The sequence below is a fragment of the Homo sapiens genome, chromosome 1, assembly GCF_000001405.40.
Source record: "Homo sapiens chromosome 1, GRCh38.p14 Primary Assembly".
Taxonomy (NCBI): Eukaryota; Metazoa; Chordata; class Mammalia; order Primates; family Hominidae; genus Homo; species Homo sapiens.
In genome coordinates this window covers 211,397,229-211,413,266 of record NC_000001.11, presented here as the reverse complement: position 1 = coordinate 211,413,266, position 16,038 = coordinate 211,397,229, and the positions used below count along the sequence as shown (strand labels likewise).

The following is a 16,038-nucleotide window of genomic DNA, read 5'->3' as shown; positions in this document are numbered from 1 at the left end:
TCCTGCCTCAGCCTCCTGAGTAGCTGGGATTACACCCGGCTAATTTTTGTATTTTTATTAGAGATGGGGTTTCACCATGTTGGCCAGACTGGTCTTGAACTCCTGACCTCAAGTGATCTGCCCGCCTTGGCCTCCCAAACTGCTGGGATTACAGGTGTGAGCCATGGCACCTGGCCTGGAGGTGGCAGCTTTGCAAGGTAATTAGGTCATGAGGGTGGAGCCCTCATGAAAGAGGTTAGTGTCCTTATAAAAAGAATAGCTAGCTCTCTTTCTGTCATTTGAGACAGCAAGAAAACCACCTTCTGTAAACCAGGAAAAGGGCATTCACAAAGAACAGAATCACCCTGGCACCCTGATCTTGCATTTTCAGCCTCCAGAAGTGTGAGAAATAAAAGTATGTTGTTTAAGCCACCCAGCCCATGGTAATTTGTTATAGCACTCTGAACTAGGACAACATCTTTGGCAGGAATATCACATCAGTGATGCTGTGTTCTTCTCAATGCATCCCAACAGGAGTCACACAATTTTGATTTGTCTCATTATTGATAATGCTAATTTTGATCACTTGATTCAGTAATGTCTACAAGGCTTCTCCACCACTACAAAATTATTATTTTTCTCTGTGTTCACTTTCTTGACTTAGCCTTAGAGCCAGCCATTTTACCAAGGAGTAACCAAGGAGTACTAGCTCCTTTTAGTAGAGAATGGTATTTAGAAACCATGAACTGAACACTAGGTGTCTTCATTGCTATTAGGGTACCACTATTTCTAGACCCTTTCAGCTACAGAGGTAGGAAATATTCTAGAAATCCTAAGTTTAAATTGATTAATTTCAAATCTCGATCAAGTCCCACAGGTTCTTCTTTGTCTTCCTCCATTCTGTATTTGTGTCTTTCTTCTTCCACAGTGAAAACCCTGGTTTTTTCAACCACTTCACGTTTATTCATTTGCTCAATCTTACAATAAAAATAATTTAAGAATCACTATACTGATACTAGTAAGAAAAATTCTGTTATTTTACATTTTAATTACTGTATTTTGTTATATTTATTTTATTAGTATTCGATGTGTCTTCTTTTTTATACTTTTGTGGAGGCATAGTATGTATATAATAAAATTTACCCTAAGTATTCAATGATTTTTTAGTAAAATTCAGAGTTGTGCAACCATTACTGCAATCCAGTTTCAGAACATTTCCATCAGCATAAAAAGTTCCCTTCTAGGCCGGGTGCAGTGGCTCACATCATTAATCTCAGCAATGTGGAGGGCTGAGGCAGGCAGATCGCTTGAGCCCAGGAGTTTGAGACCAGCCTAGGCAACATGGTGGAACCTTGTCTCTACAAAAAATACAAAAATTAGCTGGGTGTGGTGGCAAATGCCTGTGGTACCAGATATGGGAGGTTGAGGTGGGAGGACTGCTTGAGCCCAGGAGGTTGAGATTGCAGTGTGCTGTGATTGCGCCACTGCACTCCAGCCTGGGCGACAGAGTGAGGCCATCTCAAAAAAGAAAAAAAGAAGAAGAAGAAGAAAAGTTCTCTCTGCCCATATGCAACAAGTCCCCACTTTGACACCTCACAGACTCAAGCCCAGGTCATCACTGGGCTCCACAGATTTGCCTATCCTAAAAATTTTATACAAATGGAATCAAACAATACTAGTCTTTTGTGTCTGACTTCTTTCACTTCATATGATGTTTTTAAGGTTCATCCATCTGCAGCATGTATCAGTAGCCTATGTTTTATTGCTGAATGATATTCCATTACATGTATATACCATATTGTGGTTATCTACTCACCAGCTGATAGACATCTGAACTGTTTCCAGTTTTTGCCTATTACATATAATGCTCCTATGAACATTCACAATAAGCCTTTGTGTAGACATATGTTTTGGGGGTATAGGGGTGGATATGTAGAAATAAAACTGCAGGTATATTTTTAACTGTTTAAGAAATGGCCAAACTGTTTTTCAAAGTGACTGTATCATTTTATGTTCCCACGAGCAATGTATGAGGGTTCTGATTCTTCCTCACCCTCACCAACACTTGGTATTGGCAATCTTTTTTATTGTATTATTGTAGTGGGTGTGTAGTGACATCTCATTGTGGTTTTAATTTGCATTTCTCTAAAGGCTAATGCTATGAAGCATCTTTTCATGTATATATAAGCCATTGTATAAAGAAAACTGTTCTTTAGTTAAAACATAATAAATACTAATTTTTAAATGTTTTTTATCCCATTTAAAAAACTGGATTATCTTACTATCAAATTATAAGAGTTCTTTATATATTCAGATAAAAGTCCTCTATTACATATAAGATTTGCAAATATTTTTCCCAGTCTATGACTTGTCTTTTAATTCCACTTAATGGTGCCTTTTGAAGAGCAGAATTTTTTCTATTTTGATGAAGTTCAATCTATTAATTCCGTTCTCTTGTGGATCATGTTTTTGTTGTCATATCCAAGAAATACCTGTCTAACCCAAAGTCACAAAAATTTTCTCCTTGCCACTTTCTAGAAACTTTATTTAGCTCTTATATGTAAGTCTATGATCCATTTAGAGTTAAATTTTGCACATGGCATGAGATAACAAATTTTTTTTGCATATGGATGTATAATTGTCCCAGCACCATCTGTTGAAAAAATTATCATTTCCCCCATTGAATTATCTTGACGCTTTTGTCAAAAGTCAACTGACCATAAATGTAAGGGTTTTATCCTGGACTTCCAATTCTGTTTCGTTAGTCTGTTATCTATCCTTAAGCCAACAGCACATTGCTGTGATTACTGTTGCTTCATAAGTTTTAAAACTGGGTAGTGTAAGTCCTTAATCTTTGTTCTTTTTCCAAATTGCATTGACTATTTTAAGACTTTTGAATTCCATATACATTTTAGAATCAGCCTGTCAATTTATTTTTTTTTAAGCCTGATGTGATTTTAGTAGGGAGGGCATTGAATCTATAGATTAATTAGGATAAAATTGCTATCTTAACAATATACTTAACAATATACATGAACATGGAGTATCTCTCAACTTAACTTAGATCTTTAGTTTCTTTCAGAAGTGTACACATTTTGCACTTATTTTGCTAAGTTTATTGCTATGTATTTTATTCTTTCTGACACTACTGGGAATGGAATTATTTTTATTTTTATTTATTTTTTGATACAGAGTATCACTCTATCACCCAGGCTGGAGTGCAGTGGCACGATCTCGGCTCACTTCTACCTCCACCTCCTGGGTTCAAGCAGTTCTCGTGCCTCAGCCACCTGAGTAGCTGAGATTACAGGTGTGCACCACCACACCTGGCTAATTTTTGTACTTTTAGTAGAGACAGGGTTTCGCCACGTTGGCCAGGCTGGTCTTGAAATTCTGACCTCAGAATTCATCCACCTTAGTCTCCCAAAGTGCTGGGATTACAGGCATAAGCCACCACTTCTGGTCTTGGAATTGTTTTTATAATTTTGGTTTAGGTGAGTATTACTAACATATATAGATATGATTTCTGAATAGTGATCTTGCTAAACTTGTTTATTAGTGCTAGTAATTTATTCAGCTTACTTAGGATTTTCTATGTCTGCAAATAAAGTTTTAGTTATTTTCTTTCCAATATAACTTAATTTTTCTTGCCTTACTGCCCTAGCTAGAATTTCAAGTACACACTGAAGTGTGAGAAAACATTGTCTTTCACCATTAAGCATAATGTTGGCTGTGGGTCTTTTGTAGATACTCTTTATGAAATTTAGGAAGTTCTCTTCCATGCCTAGTGTGTTGAGAATTTTATCATTAATGAAAGTTACATTTCATCAAACATATTTTATGTGTCTACTAGGATGACGACGTGGTTTTCCGTTATTAAAGTGGCATATTACATTAATTGATTTTGGAGTACTAAACCATCCTCGTACTCCTGGAATATGGTATATAATCATTTTCTTTTTTCTTTTTTTTTGAGGCAGAGTCTTACTCTGTTGCCCAGGCTGGAGTGCAGCAACACGAGATCTTGGCTCACTGCAACTTCCGCCTCCCAGGTTTAAGCAATTCTAGTGCCTCTGCCTCCCAAGAAGCTGGGATTACAGGCATGCACAACCACACCCAGCTAATTTTTGTATTTTTAGTAGAGATGGGGTTTTACCATGTTGCTCAGGCTGGTCTCGAATTCCTGGTCTCAAGCAATCTGCCTGCCTCGGCCTCCCAAAGTGCTAGGATTACAGGAGTGAGCTACCATGCCCAGACTTCTTCTCTTTATTTTTTTATTGGCATGGTCTCATTCTGTTGCCTAATCCTTCTCAAATGTTGCTGGATTCTGTTACCTAATATTTCATTAAGGAATTCTGTATACATGTTCATGAAGAATACTTGTCTGCAATTTTCCTTCCTTGTGATGTGTTCGCCTGGTTTTGATATCTGAGTAATATTGGTCTCATAAAATGTGTTACAAATTGTTTCCTTTTTATTTCCGCCCAAAAATACTGTAGGATTGGTAATCTTTCTTCCTTAAAAGAAGCCATCCAGGCCTGGGTTTTCCCTTTTGAAAAGATTTCTAATTACCAATTCATTTTAGTCACATTACTTTTCTTCATTTATTATTGTCCTATTGATATTTTCCCCTTCTTCTTGAATCAGTTTCGTTAATTTGCATCTTTCTAGTAATTTGGCCATTTAAGTTGTCTAATTTGTTGACATAAAGTCATTCATAATATTCCCTTATAATACTTTTAACTTCCATAGAGTCGGTAGTGATGTCCTATCTTTTACTCTTAACTTTGGTATTTGTGTCTTTTCTCTATATTTTTCCCTTGCTCAGAATAGCTAAAGGTTTATCAATTGTGTTGATTAAAGAACAATTTTATTGGAATAGGAACAGCTCCAGTCTACAGCTCCCAGCGTGAGCGACACAGAAGACAGGTGATTTCTGCATTTCCAACTGAGGTACGAGGTTCATCTCACAGGGGAGTGCTGGACAGTTGGTGCAGGACAGTGGGTTCAGTGCACTGAGCTTGAGCCGAAGCAGGGCGAGGCATCACCTAACCCGGGAAGTTCAAGGGGTCAGGGAATTCCCTTTCCTAGTCAAAGAAAGGGGGGACAAATGGCACCTGGAATATCGGGTCACTCCCACCCTAATACTGTGCTTTTCCAATGGGCTTCACAAACGGCACACCAGGAGATTATATCCCACACCTGGCTTGGAGGGTCCTATGCCCACGGAGCCTCACTCATTGCTAGCACAGCAGTCTGAGATCAAACTGCAAGGAGGCAGCGAGGCTGGGGGAGGGGCGCCCGCCATTGCTCAAGCTTGAGTAGGTAAACAAAGCCTCCAGGAAGCTCAAACTGGGTGGAGCCCACCACAGCTCAAGGAAGCCTGCCTGCCTCTGAAGGCTCCACCTCTGGGGGCAGGGCACAGACAAACAAAAGACGAAATAACCTCTGCAGACTTGAATGTCCCTGTCTGACAGCTTTGAAGAGAGTAGTGGCTCTCCCAGCACATAGTTTGAGATCTGAGAACGGGCAGACTGCCTCCTCAAGAGGGTCCCTGACCCCTGAGTAGCCTAACTGGGAGGCACCCCCCAGTAGGGGCGGACTGACACCTCGCACGGCTGGGTACTCCTCTGAGACAAAACTTCCAGAGGAACAATCAGGCAGCAGCATTTGCGGTTCACTAATATCCGCTGTTCTGCAGCCACCGCTGCTGACACCCAGGCAAACAGGGTCTGGAGTGGACCTCCAGTAAACTCCAACAGATCTGCAGCTGAGGGTCCTGACTGTTAGAAGGAAAACTAACAAACAGAAAGGACATCCACACCAAAACCCCATCTGTACGTCACCATCATCAAAGACCAAAGCTAGATAAAACCACAAAGATGGGGATAAAACAGAGCAGAAAAACCGGAAACTCTAAAAATCAGAGCCTCTCTCCTTCTCCAATGGAACGCAGCTCCTCACCAGCAACGGAACAAAGCTGGATGGAGAATGACTTTGACAAGTTGAGAGAAGAAGTTTTCAGAAGATCAAACTACTCCGAGCTAAAGGAGGAAGTTCAAACCAATGGCAAAGAAGTTAAAAACTTTGAAAAAAACTTAGACAAATGGATAACTAGAATAATCAATGGAGAGAAGTCCTTAAAGTACCTGATGGAGCTGAAAACCACGGCACGAGAACTACGTGACAAATGCACAAGCCTCAGTAACTGATGCAATCAACTGGAAGAAAGGGTATCAGCGTGAAATGAATGAAATGAAGCATGAAGAGAAGTTTAGAGAAAAAAGAATAAAAAGAAACGAACAAAGCCTCCAAGAAATATGGGACTATGTGAAAAGACCAAATCTACGTCTAATTGGTGTACCTGAAAGTGACGGGGAGAATGGAACCAAGTTGGAAAGCACTCTTCAGGATATTATCCAGGAGAACTTCCCCAATCTAGCAAGGCAGGCCAACATTCAAATTCAGGAAATACAGAGAACGCCACAAAGATACTCCTCGAGAAAAGCAACTCCAAGACACATAATTGTCAGATTCACCAAAGTTGAAATGAAGGAAAAAATGTTAAGGGCAGCCAGAGAGAAAGGTCCGGTTACCCACAAAGGGAAGCCCATCAGACTAACAGCTCATCTCTCAGCAGAAACTCGACAAGCCAGAAGAGAGTGGGAGCAAATATTCAACATTCTTAAAGAAAAGAATTTTTAACCCAGAATTTCATATCCAGCCAAACTAAGCTTCATAAGTGAAGGAGAAATAAAATACTTTACAGACAAGCAAATGCTGAGAGATTTTGTCACCACCAGGCCTGCCCTAAAAGAGCTCCTGAAGGAGGCACTAAACATGGAAAGGAATGACCAATACCAGCCACTGCAAAAACATGCCATGTTTTAAAGACCATCGATGCTAGGAAGGAACTGCATCAACTAACGAGCAAAATAACCAGCTAACATCATAATGACAGGATCAAATTCACACATAACAATACTAACTTTAAATGTAAATGGGCTAAATGCTCCAATTAAAAGGCACAGACTGGCAAATTGGATAAAGAGTCAAGACCCATCAGTGTGCTGTATTCAGGAAACCCATCTCACGTGCAGAGACACACACAGGCTCAAAATAAAGGGATGGAGGAAGATCTACTAAGCAAATGGAAAACAAAAAAAGGCAGGGATTGCAATCCTAGTCTCTGATAAAACAGACTTTAAACCAACAAAGATCAAAAGAGACAAAGAAGGCCATTACATAATGGTAAAGGGATCAATTCAACAAGAAGAGCTAACTATCCTAAATACATACGCACCCAATACAGGAGCACCCAGATTCACAAAGCAAGTCCTTAGAGACCTTCAAAGAGAGTTAGACTCCCACATAATAATAATGGGAGGCTTTAACACCCCACTGTCAACATTAGACAGATCAACGAGACAGAAAGTTAACAAGGATATCCAGGAATTGAACTCAGCTCTGCACCAAGCGGACGTAATAGACATCTACAGAACTCACCACCCCAAATTAACAGAATATACATTCTTCTCAGCACCACATCACACTTATTCCAAAATTGACCACACAGTTGGAAGTAAAGCACTCCTCAGCAAATGTAAAAGAACAGAAATTATAACAAACTGTCTCTCAGACCACAGTGCAATCAAACTAGAACTCAGGATTAAGAAACTCACTCAAAACTGCTCAACAACATGGAAACTGAACAACCTGCTCCTGAATGACTACTGGGTACATAACGAAATGAAGGCAGAAATAAAGATGTTCTTTGAAACCAATGAGAACAAAGACACAACGTACCAGAATCTCTGGGACACATTCAAAGCAGTGTGTAGAGGGAAATTTATAGCACTAAATGCCCACAAGAGAAAGCAGAAAAGATCTAAAATTGACACCCTAACATCACAATTGAAAGAACTAGAGAAGCAAAAGCAAACACGTTCAAAAGCTAGCAGAAGGCAAGAAATAACTAACATCAGAGTGTAACAGAAGGAGATAGAGACACAAAAAACCCTTCAAAAAATCAATGAATCCAGGAGCTGGTTTTTTGAAAAGATCAACAAAATTGATAGACCGCTAGCAAGACTAATAAAGAAGAAAAGAGAGAAGAATCAAATAGACGCAATAAAAAATGACAAAGGGGATATCACCACCGATCCCACAGAAATACAAACTACCATCAGAGAGTACTATAAACATCTCTACGCAAATAAACTAGAAAATCTAGAAGAAATGGATAAATTCCTTGACACATACACCTTCCCAAGACTAAACCAGGAAGAAGTTGAATCCCTGAATAGACCAATAACAGACTCTGAAATTGAGGCAATAATTAATAGCCCACCAACCAAAAAAAATCCAGGACCAGATGGATTGACAGCCAAATCCTACCAGAGGTACAAGGAGGAGCTGGTACCATTCCTTCTGAAACTATTCCAATCAACAGAAAAAGAGGGAATCCTCCCTAACTCATTTTATGAGGCCAGCATCATCCTGATACCAAAGCCTGGCAGAGACACAACAAAAAGAGAATTTTAGACCAATATCCCTGATGAATATCAATGCAACAATCTTCAATAAAATACTGGCAAACCGAATCCAGCAGCACATCAAAAAGCTTATCCACCATGATCAAGTGGGCTTCATCCCTGGGATGCAAGGCTGGTTCAACAAACTCAAATCAATAAACGTAATCCTGCATATAAACAGAACCAAAGACAAAAACCACATGATTATCTCAATAGATGCAGAAAAGGCCTTTGACAAAATTCAACAACCCTTCATGCTAAAAACTCTCAATAAATTAGGTATTGATGGGACATATCTCAAAATAAAAAGAGCTATTTATGACAAACCCACAGCCAATATCATACTGAATGGGCAAAAACTGGAAGCATTCCCTTTGAAAACTGGCACAAGACAGGGATGCCCTCCCTCACCACTCCTATTCAACATAGTGTTGGAAGTTCTGGCCAGGGCAATCAGGCAGGAGAAGGAAATAAAGGGTATTCAATTAGGAAAAGAGGAAGTCAAATTGTCCCTGTTTGCAGATGACATGATTGTATTTTTAGAAAACCCCATCATCTCAGCCCAAAATCTCCTTAAGCTGATAAGCAACTTCAGCAAAGTCTCAGGATACAAAATCAATGTGCAAAAATCACAAGCATTCTTATACACCAATAACAGACAGAGAGCCAAATCATGAGTGAACTCCCATTCACAATTGCTACAAAGAGAATAAAATACCTAGGAATCCAACTTACAAGGGATGTGAAGGACCTCTTCAAGGAGAACTACAAACCACTGCTCAACGAAATAAAAGAGGACACAAACAAATGGAAGAACATTCCATGCTCATGGATAGGAAGAATCAATATCATGAAAATGGCCACACTGCCCAAGGTAATTTATAGATCCAATGCCGTCCCTATCAAGCTACCAATGACTTTCTTCACAGAATTGGAAAAAACTACTTTAAAGTTCATATGGAACCAAAAAAGAGCCCACATTGCCAAGACAATCCTAAGCCAAAAGAACAAAGCTGGAAGCATCATGCTACCTGACTTCAAACTATAGTGCAAGGCTTACAGTAACCAAAACAGCATGGTACATGTAGCAAAACAGAGATATAGACCAATGGAACAGAAAAGAGCCCTCAGAAATAATACCACACATCTACAACCATCTGATCTTTGACAAACCTGACAAAAACAAGCAATGAGGAAAGGATTCCCTATTTAATAAATGGTGCTGGGAAAACTGGTTAGCCATATGTAGAAAGCTGAAACTGGATCCCTTCCTTACACCTTATACAAAAATTAATTCAAGATGGATTAAAGACTTAAACGTTAGACCTAAAACCATAAAAACCCTAGAAGAAAACCTAGGCAATACCATTCAGGACATAGGCATGGGCAAGGACTTCATGTCTAAAACACCAAAAGCAATGGAAACAAAAGCCAAAACTGACAAATGGGATCTAATTAAACTAAAGAGTTTCTGCACAGCAAAAGAAACTACCATCAGAGTGAACAGGCAACCTACAGAATGGGAGAAAATTTTTATAATCTACCCATCTGACAAAGGGCTAATATCCAGAATCTACAAAGAACTTAACCAAATTTACAAGAAAAAAATCAAACAACCCCATCAAAAAGTGAGTGAAGGATATGAACAGACACTTTGCAAAAGAAGACATTTATGGAGCCAACAGACACATGAAAAAATGCTCATCCATCATTGGCCATCAGAGAAATGCAGATCGAAACCACAATGAGATACCATCTCACACCAGTTAGAATGGCGATCATTAAAAAGTCAGGAAACAACAGGTGCTGGAGAGGATGTGGAGAAATAGGAACACTTTTACACTGTTGGTGGGACTGTAAACTAGTTCGACCATTGTGGAAGACAATGTGGCCATTCCTCAAGGATCTAGAACTAGAAATACCATTTGACCCAGCGATCCCATTACTGGGTATACACCCAAAGGATTATAAATCATGCTGCTATAAAGACACACTCACACGTATGTTTACTGCAGCACTATTCACAATAGCAAAGACTTGGAACCAACCTAAAAGTCCTTCAATAATAGACTGGATTAAGAAAATGTGGCACATATAAACCATGGAATACCATGCATCCACAAAAAAGGATGAGCTCATGTCCTTTGCAGGGACATGGATGAAGCTGGAAACCATCATTCTGAGCAAACTATCGCAAAGACAGAAAACCAAACACCGCATGTTCTCACTCATAGGTGGGAACTGAACAATAAGAATACTTGGACACAGGGTGGGGAACATCACACACTGGGGCCTGTCGTGGGGTTGGGGGAGGGGGGAGGGATAGCATTAGGAGATATAACTAATGTAAATGAGGAGTTAATAGGTGCAGCACACCAACATGGCACATGTATACATACATACATGTATACAAACCTGCACGTTGTGTACATGTACCCTAGAACTTAAAGTATAAAAAAAAAACAGTGAAAGATCTTTACAATGAAAAGAATAAAACATTGATGTAAGAAATTAAAAAGACCACAAAAAAGAAAAAATAGTCCATGTTCATGGATTGGAAGAATCAATATTGTTAAAATATCCATACTCTCTAAAGCAGTCTACAGATTTAATGCAATCCCTATGAAAATACCAAATTGGAAAAAAAGTCCTAAAATTTATACAGAACAAGAAAAGACCCAGAATAGCCAAAGCTATCCTGAGCAAAAAGAAAAAAACTGGAGGAATCACATTACTTGACTTCAAATTATACTACAAAGCTACAGTAACCCAAACAGCATGGTACTGGCATAAAAACAGACACACAGACCAATGGAACAGAATAGAGAACCCAGAAACAAACACGTACATCTACAGTGAACTCATTTTTGACAAAGGTACCAAAAGGATATATTGGGGAAAAGACATTCTCTTCAATAAATGGTGCTGGGAAAATTGGATATCCATATGTAGAAGAATGAAACTAGACCTCCATCTCTTGCCAGATACAAAAATCAAATCAAAATGTATTAAAGACTTAAATTTATGACCAAAAACTATAAAACTACTACAAGAAAACATTAGGAGAAACTCTCTAGGACATTGGACTGGTCAACGATTTCTTGAGTAATACCCTACGAGCACAGGCAACTGAAACACAAATGTACAAATGGGATCATATGAAGTTAAAAAGCTTCTGCACTGCAAAGGAAACAATTAACAAAATGAAGAGACAACCCACAGAATGGGAGAAAATTCCTTCAAACTATCCTTCTGACAAGGGATTGATAACCCTTGAATATAAAACAAGCTCAAACAACTCTATAGGAAAAAATCTAATAATCCTATTTTTAAATGGGCAAAAGGTCTGAATAGACATTTCCCAAAAGAAGACACACAAATGGCAAACAGGCATATGAAAAGGTGCTCAACATCACTGATTATCAAAGAAATGCAAATCAAAACTATAATGAGATATCATCTCACCCTAGGTAAAATCGGTTTTATCCAAAAGACAGGCAATAACAAATGCTGAGAAGGATGCTGAGAAAGGGGAACCCTCATACACTGTTGGCAGGAATATAAATTAGTATAACCACTATGGAGAACAGTTTGGAAGTTCCTCAAAAAACTAAGAAGAGAGCTACCATAAGATCCAACAATCTCATTCCTAGGTATAGACCCAAAAGAAAGGAAATCAGTATGTCAAAGAGATATCTGCACTCTGGTGTTTACTGCAGCATTATTCACAATAGCCAAGATCTGGAAGCAATCTAAACGTCCATCAACAGATGAATGTGGTACAAATACACAACGGAGCATTATTCAGCCAAAAAAAAAAAAAAATGAGATGCTGTCACTTGCAACAAGGGATGGAAATGGAGGTCATAGTTAAGTGACAAAAGCCAGGCACAGAAAGACAAAATTCACATGTTGTGATGTTGTGGGATGTTTAAGCCAAGAGGAAGGCCATAAACTAGAGGAAATAACAGAAACATCAGCACCAGTATCCACTAGGCCCTCAAACTTTTTTCCTTTAATGTGTATGGTGTAGGTGGGCCGTTGTTTAGAAATTACATTAACCCAATAAGCGGCCTTTTCACTTCCGGAGCCCATCCCAGGGCCACATGTCTTATCTCCTTCGTTTAAAACGATATTAGGTAGTGAAAGCAATTGAGCTTGTTTAACAGCAGTAAAAGAAACAGGAGCTTGGCCTGGGGAGTGTAATCTATCCTAAGCTCTCATACACACCTTTGTTACTTGTTTTGTGGTAAAAGTATCAAAGTTTAATTGGGCATAAGTATCAGAGAAACTATTGGAGCCTGTGAGCTGAGCCTGAGTAACTAGAATGTCATTACTCCGATTTAGCTGAGCCTGAAAACAGGCCTCCTCTGACCACCAGGCTGAGATGGAGTTAGAACAGCTTTTTGCCAAAAGGTCACAGTCTAAAGGAAGCAAAGCGACCTCAGTACAAAAAGTTTGCAATACCATTTGAACATAAGGAAAAGTAGGACCATACTGAGTACAAGCATCCTTAAATTGTTTTTAAAAAGGTAAGATTCAGCGGCGCGTATCGATGCAGACCGGTTGAGGAACTGAAACGACAGGAGGGTGAGGGGCTGTAGTGGATGGGGGAGGGCCTGGAGAATGATAGGTAAATTGTAGTTTGGTCCCAGAGCCATTAGTTGATGCTGGAGGTTTGAAGAGAGAAGAATTAGCATATCTATGGCACCGGGCTGTGTGAGTCGCAGCCGCAGGAGTTTGAAGTACTGGCTTTTCGTGAGAAGAAGTAAGAAAAGTAGGGGGTAACTTTAAGCCAAAGTTACCAGAGTTAGACATCGAATTTTCAGAATCATTAGGTAGGGGAGGAGTAGCTGAAGGGAGAGTCTGAACGAAGGCCATGTGGTAGAGGAAGGTTGAGAAAAAGGCAGAGAAACTGAGGAAAAGGCAGAAAACTGCGGCAACTGCAGGGGGTCACGAGATTGGCAAGCCACTAAGATGGCATGCACCAAGGCCCAAGCACCCCAAACAGTGATGGGAACATAATACCCTGCCGAGACCAGTTTTCGGAATGCTTTACGAACACAATCACACAATTTTATATACACGGTTCCTTTTTCAGGAAACCAAGGACAGTATTTTTGTACTGCCCTGAATAGAGTGATAACAAAATGACACAATTTTATATACACGGTTCCTTTTTCAGGAAACCAAGAACAGTATTTTTCTACTGTCCTGAATAGAGTGATCATATTTTTCATGGTTACCTGTTTTAACAGGAGTTTCTTAGATTACAAATGACCCATAGTTAACCCAGACCTTACACAGATTACTCACCACTCGTCGGGGAGTTGAACACGCTTATCTGTGGACCAAGCCGATTGATGTTTCACCGCACCTACCAAAGGGAATCGGGTTCCCTCATGCACTTAGGAAAAAAGAAAGACCACGTGGGCGCCAGATATCGGGGGACCTGCCCCGATAATCATGTAGGTTCTTTTCTATTTTCCTAAGCGTCGGCTGGCTTGAGAAATAAAGGGACAGAGTACAAAAGAGAAATTTTAAAGCTGGGCGTCCGGGGGAGACATCACACGTTGTTAGGATCCATGATGCCCCACAAGCCACAATAACCAGCAAGTTTTTATTAGGGAGTTTCAAAAGGGGAGGGAGTATACGAATAGGTGTGGGTGACAGACATCAAGTACTTAACAGGGTAATAGAATATCACAAGGCAAGTGGAGGCAGGGCGAGATCACAGGACCACAGGACCGAGGCGAAATTAAAATTGCTAATGAAGTTTTGGGCACCACTGTCATTGATAACATCTTATCAGGAGACAGGGTTTTGAGATCAACCGGTGTGACCAAAATTTATTAGGTGGGAATTTCCTCTTCCTAATAAGCCTGGGAGCGCTATGGGAGACTGGAGTTTATTTCGTCCCTGCAGTCTCAACCATAAGAGACAGGTACGCCCCGGGGGGGCCAGTTCAGAGACCTACCCCTAGGCGTGCATTCTCTTTCTCAGGGACGTTCCATGCTGAGAAAAAGAATTCAGCAACAATAGCCAAGATCTGGAAGCAATCTAAACGTCCATCAACAGATGAATGTGGTACAAATACACAACGGAGCACTATTCAGCCAAAAAAAAAAAAAAAATGAGATGCTGTCACTTGCAACAAGGGATGGAAATGGAGGTCATTGTTAAGTGACAAAAGCCAGGCACAGAAAGACAAAATTCACATGTTGTCACCTATTTGTGGGAGCTAAAAATGAAAACAAATAAACTCATGGTGATACCAGAACGATCGTTACCAGAGGCTTAGAAGGGTAGTTGAAGGTGGGGAAAGGAGGATGATTAATGAGTATAAAAATATAGCTAGAATGTATAAGATTTCGTATTTTATAGCACAACAGGGTGATTACAGTCAACAACAATTTATTGTACATTTAAAAATAACTAAAAGAGGCAGGGCACGGTGGCTCATGCCTGTAATCCCAGCACTTTGGGACGCTGAAGTGGACGGATCACATGAGGTCAGGAGTTCGAGACCAGCCTGGCCAACCAGGTGAAACCCCGTCCCTACTAAAAATACAAAAATTAGCCAGGTGTGGTGGTGCATGCGTGTAGTCCTAGCTACTTAGGAGGCTGTGGCAGGAGAATTGCTTGAATCCGGGAGGCAGAGGTTGCAGTGAGCCGAGGTCGCATCATTGCACTCCAGCCTGAGCAACAGGACAAGACTCTGTCTCAAACAAATAAAAATAAATAAGAATAAAAAATAAAATAAAATAACTAAAAGAGTGTAAGTGAATTGTTTGTAACACAAAGAAAGGATAAAAGCTTGAGGTGATGGATACCCCATTTACCCTGATAGGATTATTATGCATTGCATGCCTGTATCAAAATATCTCATATATCCCATAAATACACTCACCTACTGGGTACTCACAAAATCTTTTTTTAAATACAAGGAAAAAAATTAGAAACATCGTAAATGTCCATCCACAGGACAATGGATAAATTGTGCTTTATTCACACAATAGAGTATTATATGGCAGAGAAAATTAATGAACTACAGCTACACAAAAATATGAATACATCATAAAAACAAAATATTGTGTGAAAAAGTAGCTAGAGAAAACTGCAGAAAATATATTATTCTTATAAAACCCCAAACCAAATAAGCTAAACAAAATAATATTTCAACATACATCCATTTGTAATAAAGTGATTTTCAAAAGGCATGAGAAGGAGCAACACAAAATTTAGGATATTACTTTTAATGCGAAGGCAAGTGAATAGAAGGAGGAAGAAAAATACTGAAAGATAATCATAATTGGTAATGTTCTAGTTAAATAGGTTCATGATGCTTTACTATTGTCTGTTTTATATATGTTACACATAGTTCATAAACTATTATATGAAATAAATTTAGAGAAGCAAATTGATAGACTATTTTTGTTAGCATAAAATTATATGTGTATTATATAGTACATAAAACTATACATATTTATTTATATTTATTTTATTTATTTCCATGTGCACAGAG

The 16,038-nt window shown here is 39.3% G+C and overlaps 1 long non-coding RNA gene across 1 annotated transcript in view, besides 2 other annotated features; it reads right to left on the bottom strand.

Moving 5' to 3' along the window:
* LINC00467 (long intergenic non-protein coding RNA 467) overlaps positions 1 to 16,038 on the bottom strand; it is a 49,781-nt gene that overhangs the window by 19,269 nt on the left and 14,474 nt on the right. The window lies entirely within an intron of this gene.
* Positions 12,032 to 12,773: an enhancer, noted in NCBI's record as "NANOG-H3K27ac hESC enhancer chr1:211573836-211574577 (GRCh37/hg19 assembly coordinates)". NCBI's record gives its function as "activates a minimal SCP1, AML or CMV promoter by ChIP-STARR-seq in naive H9 embryonic stem cells {active_cell/tissue: H9 hESC(naive)}" and the evidence as "EXISTENCE:reporter gene assay evidence [ECO:0000049][PMID:30033119]".
* Positions 14,259 to 15,002: an enhancer, noted in NCBI's record as "OCT4-NANOG-H3K27ac hESC enhancer chr1:211571607-211572350 (GRCh37/hg19 assembly coordinates)". NCBI's record gives its function as "activates a minimal SCP1, AML or CMV promoter by ChIP-STARR-seq in naive and primed H9 embryonic stem cells {active_cell/tissue: H9 hESC(naive and primed)}" and the evidence as "EXISTENCE:reporter gene assay evidence [ECO:0000049][PMID:30033119]".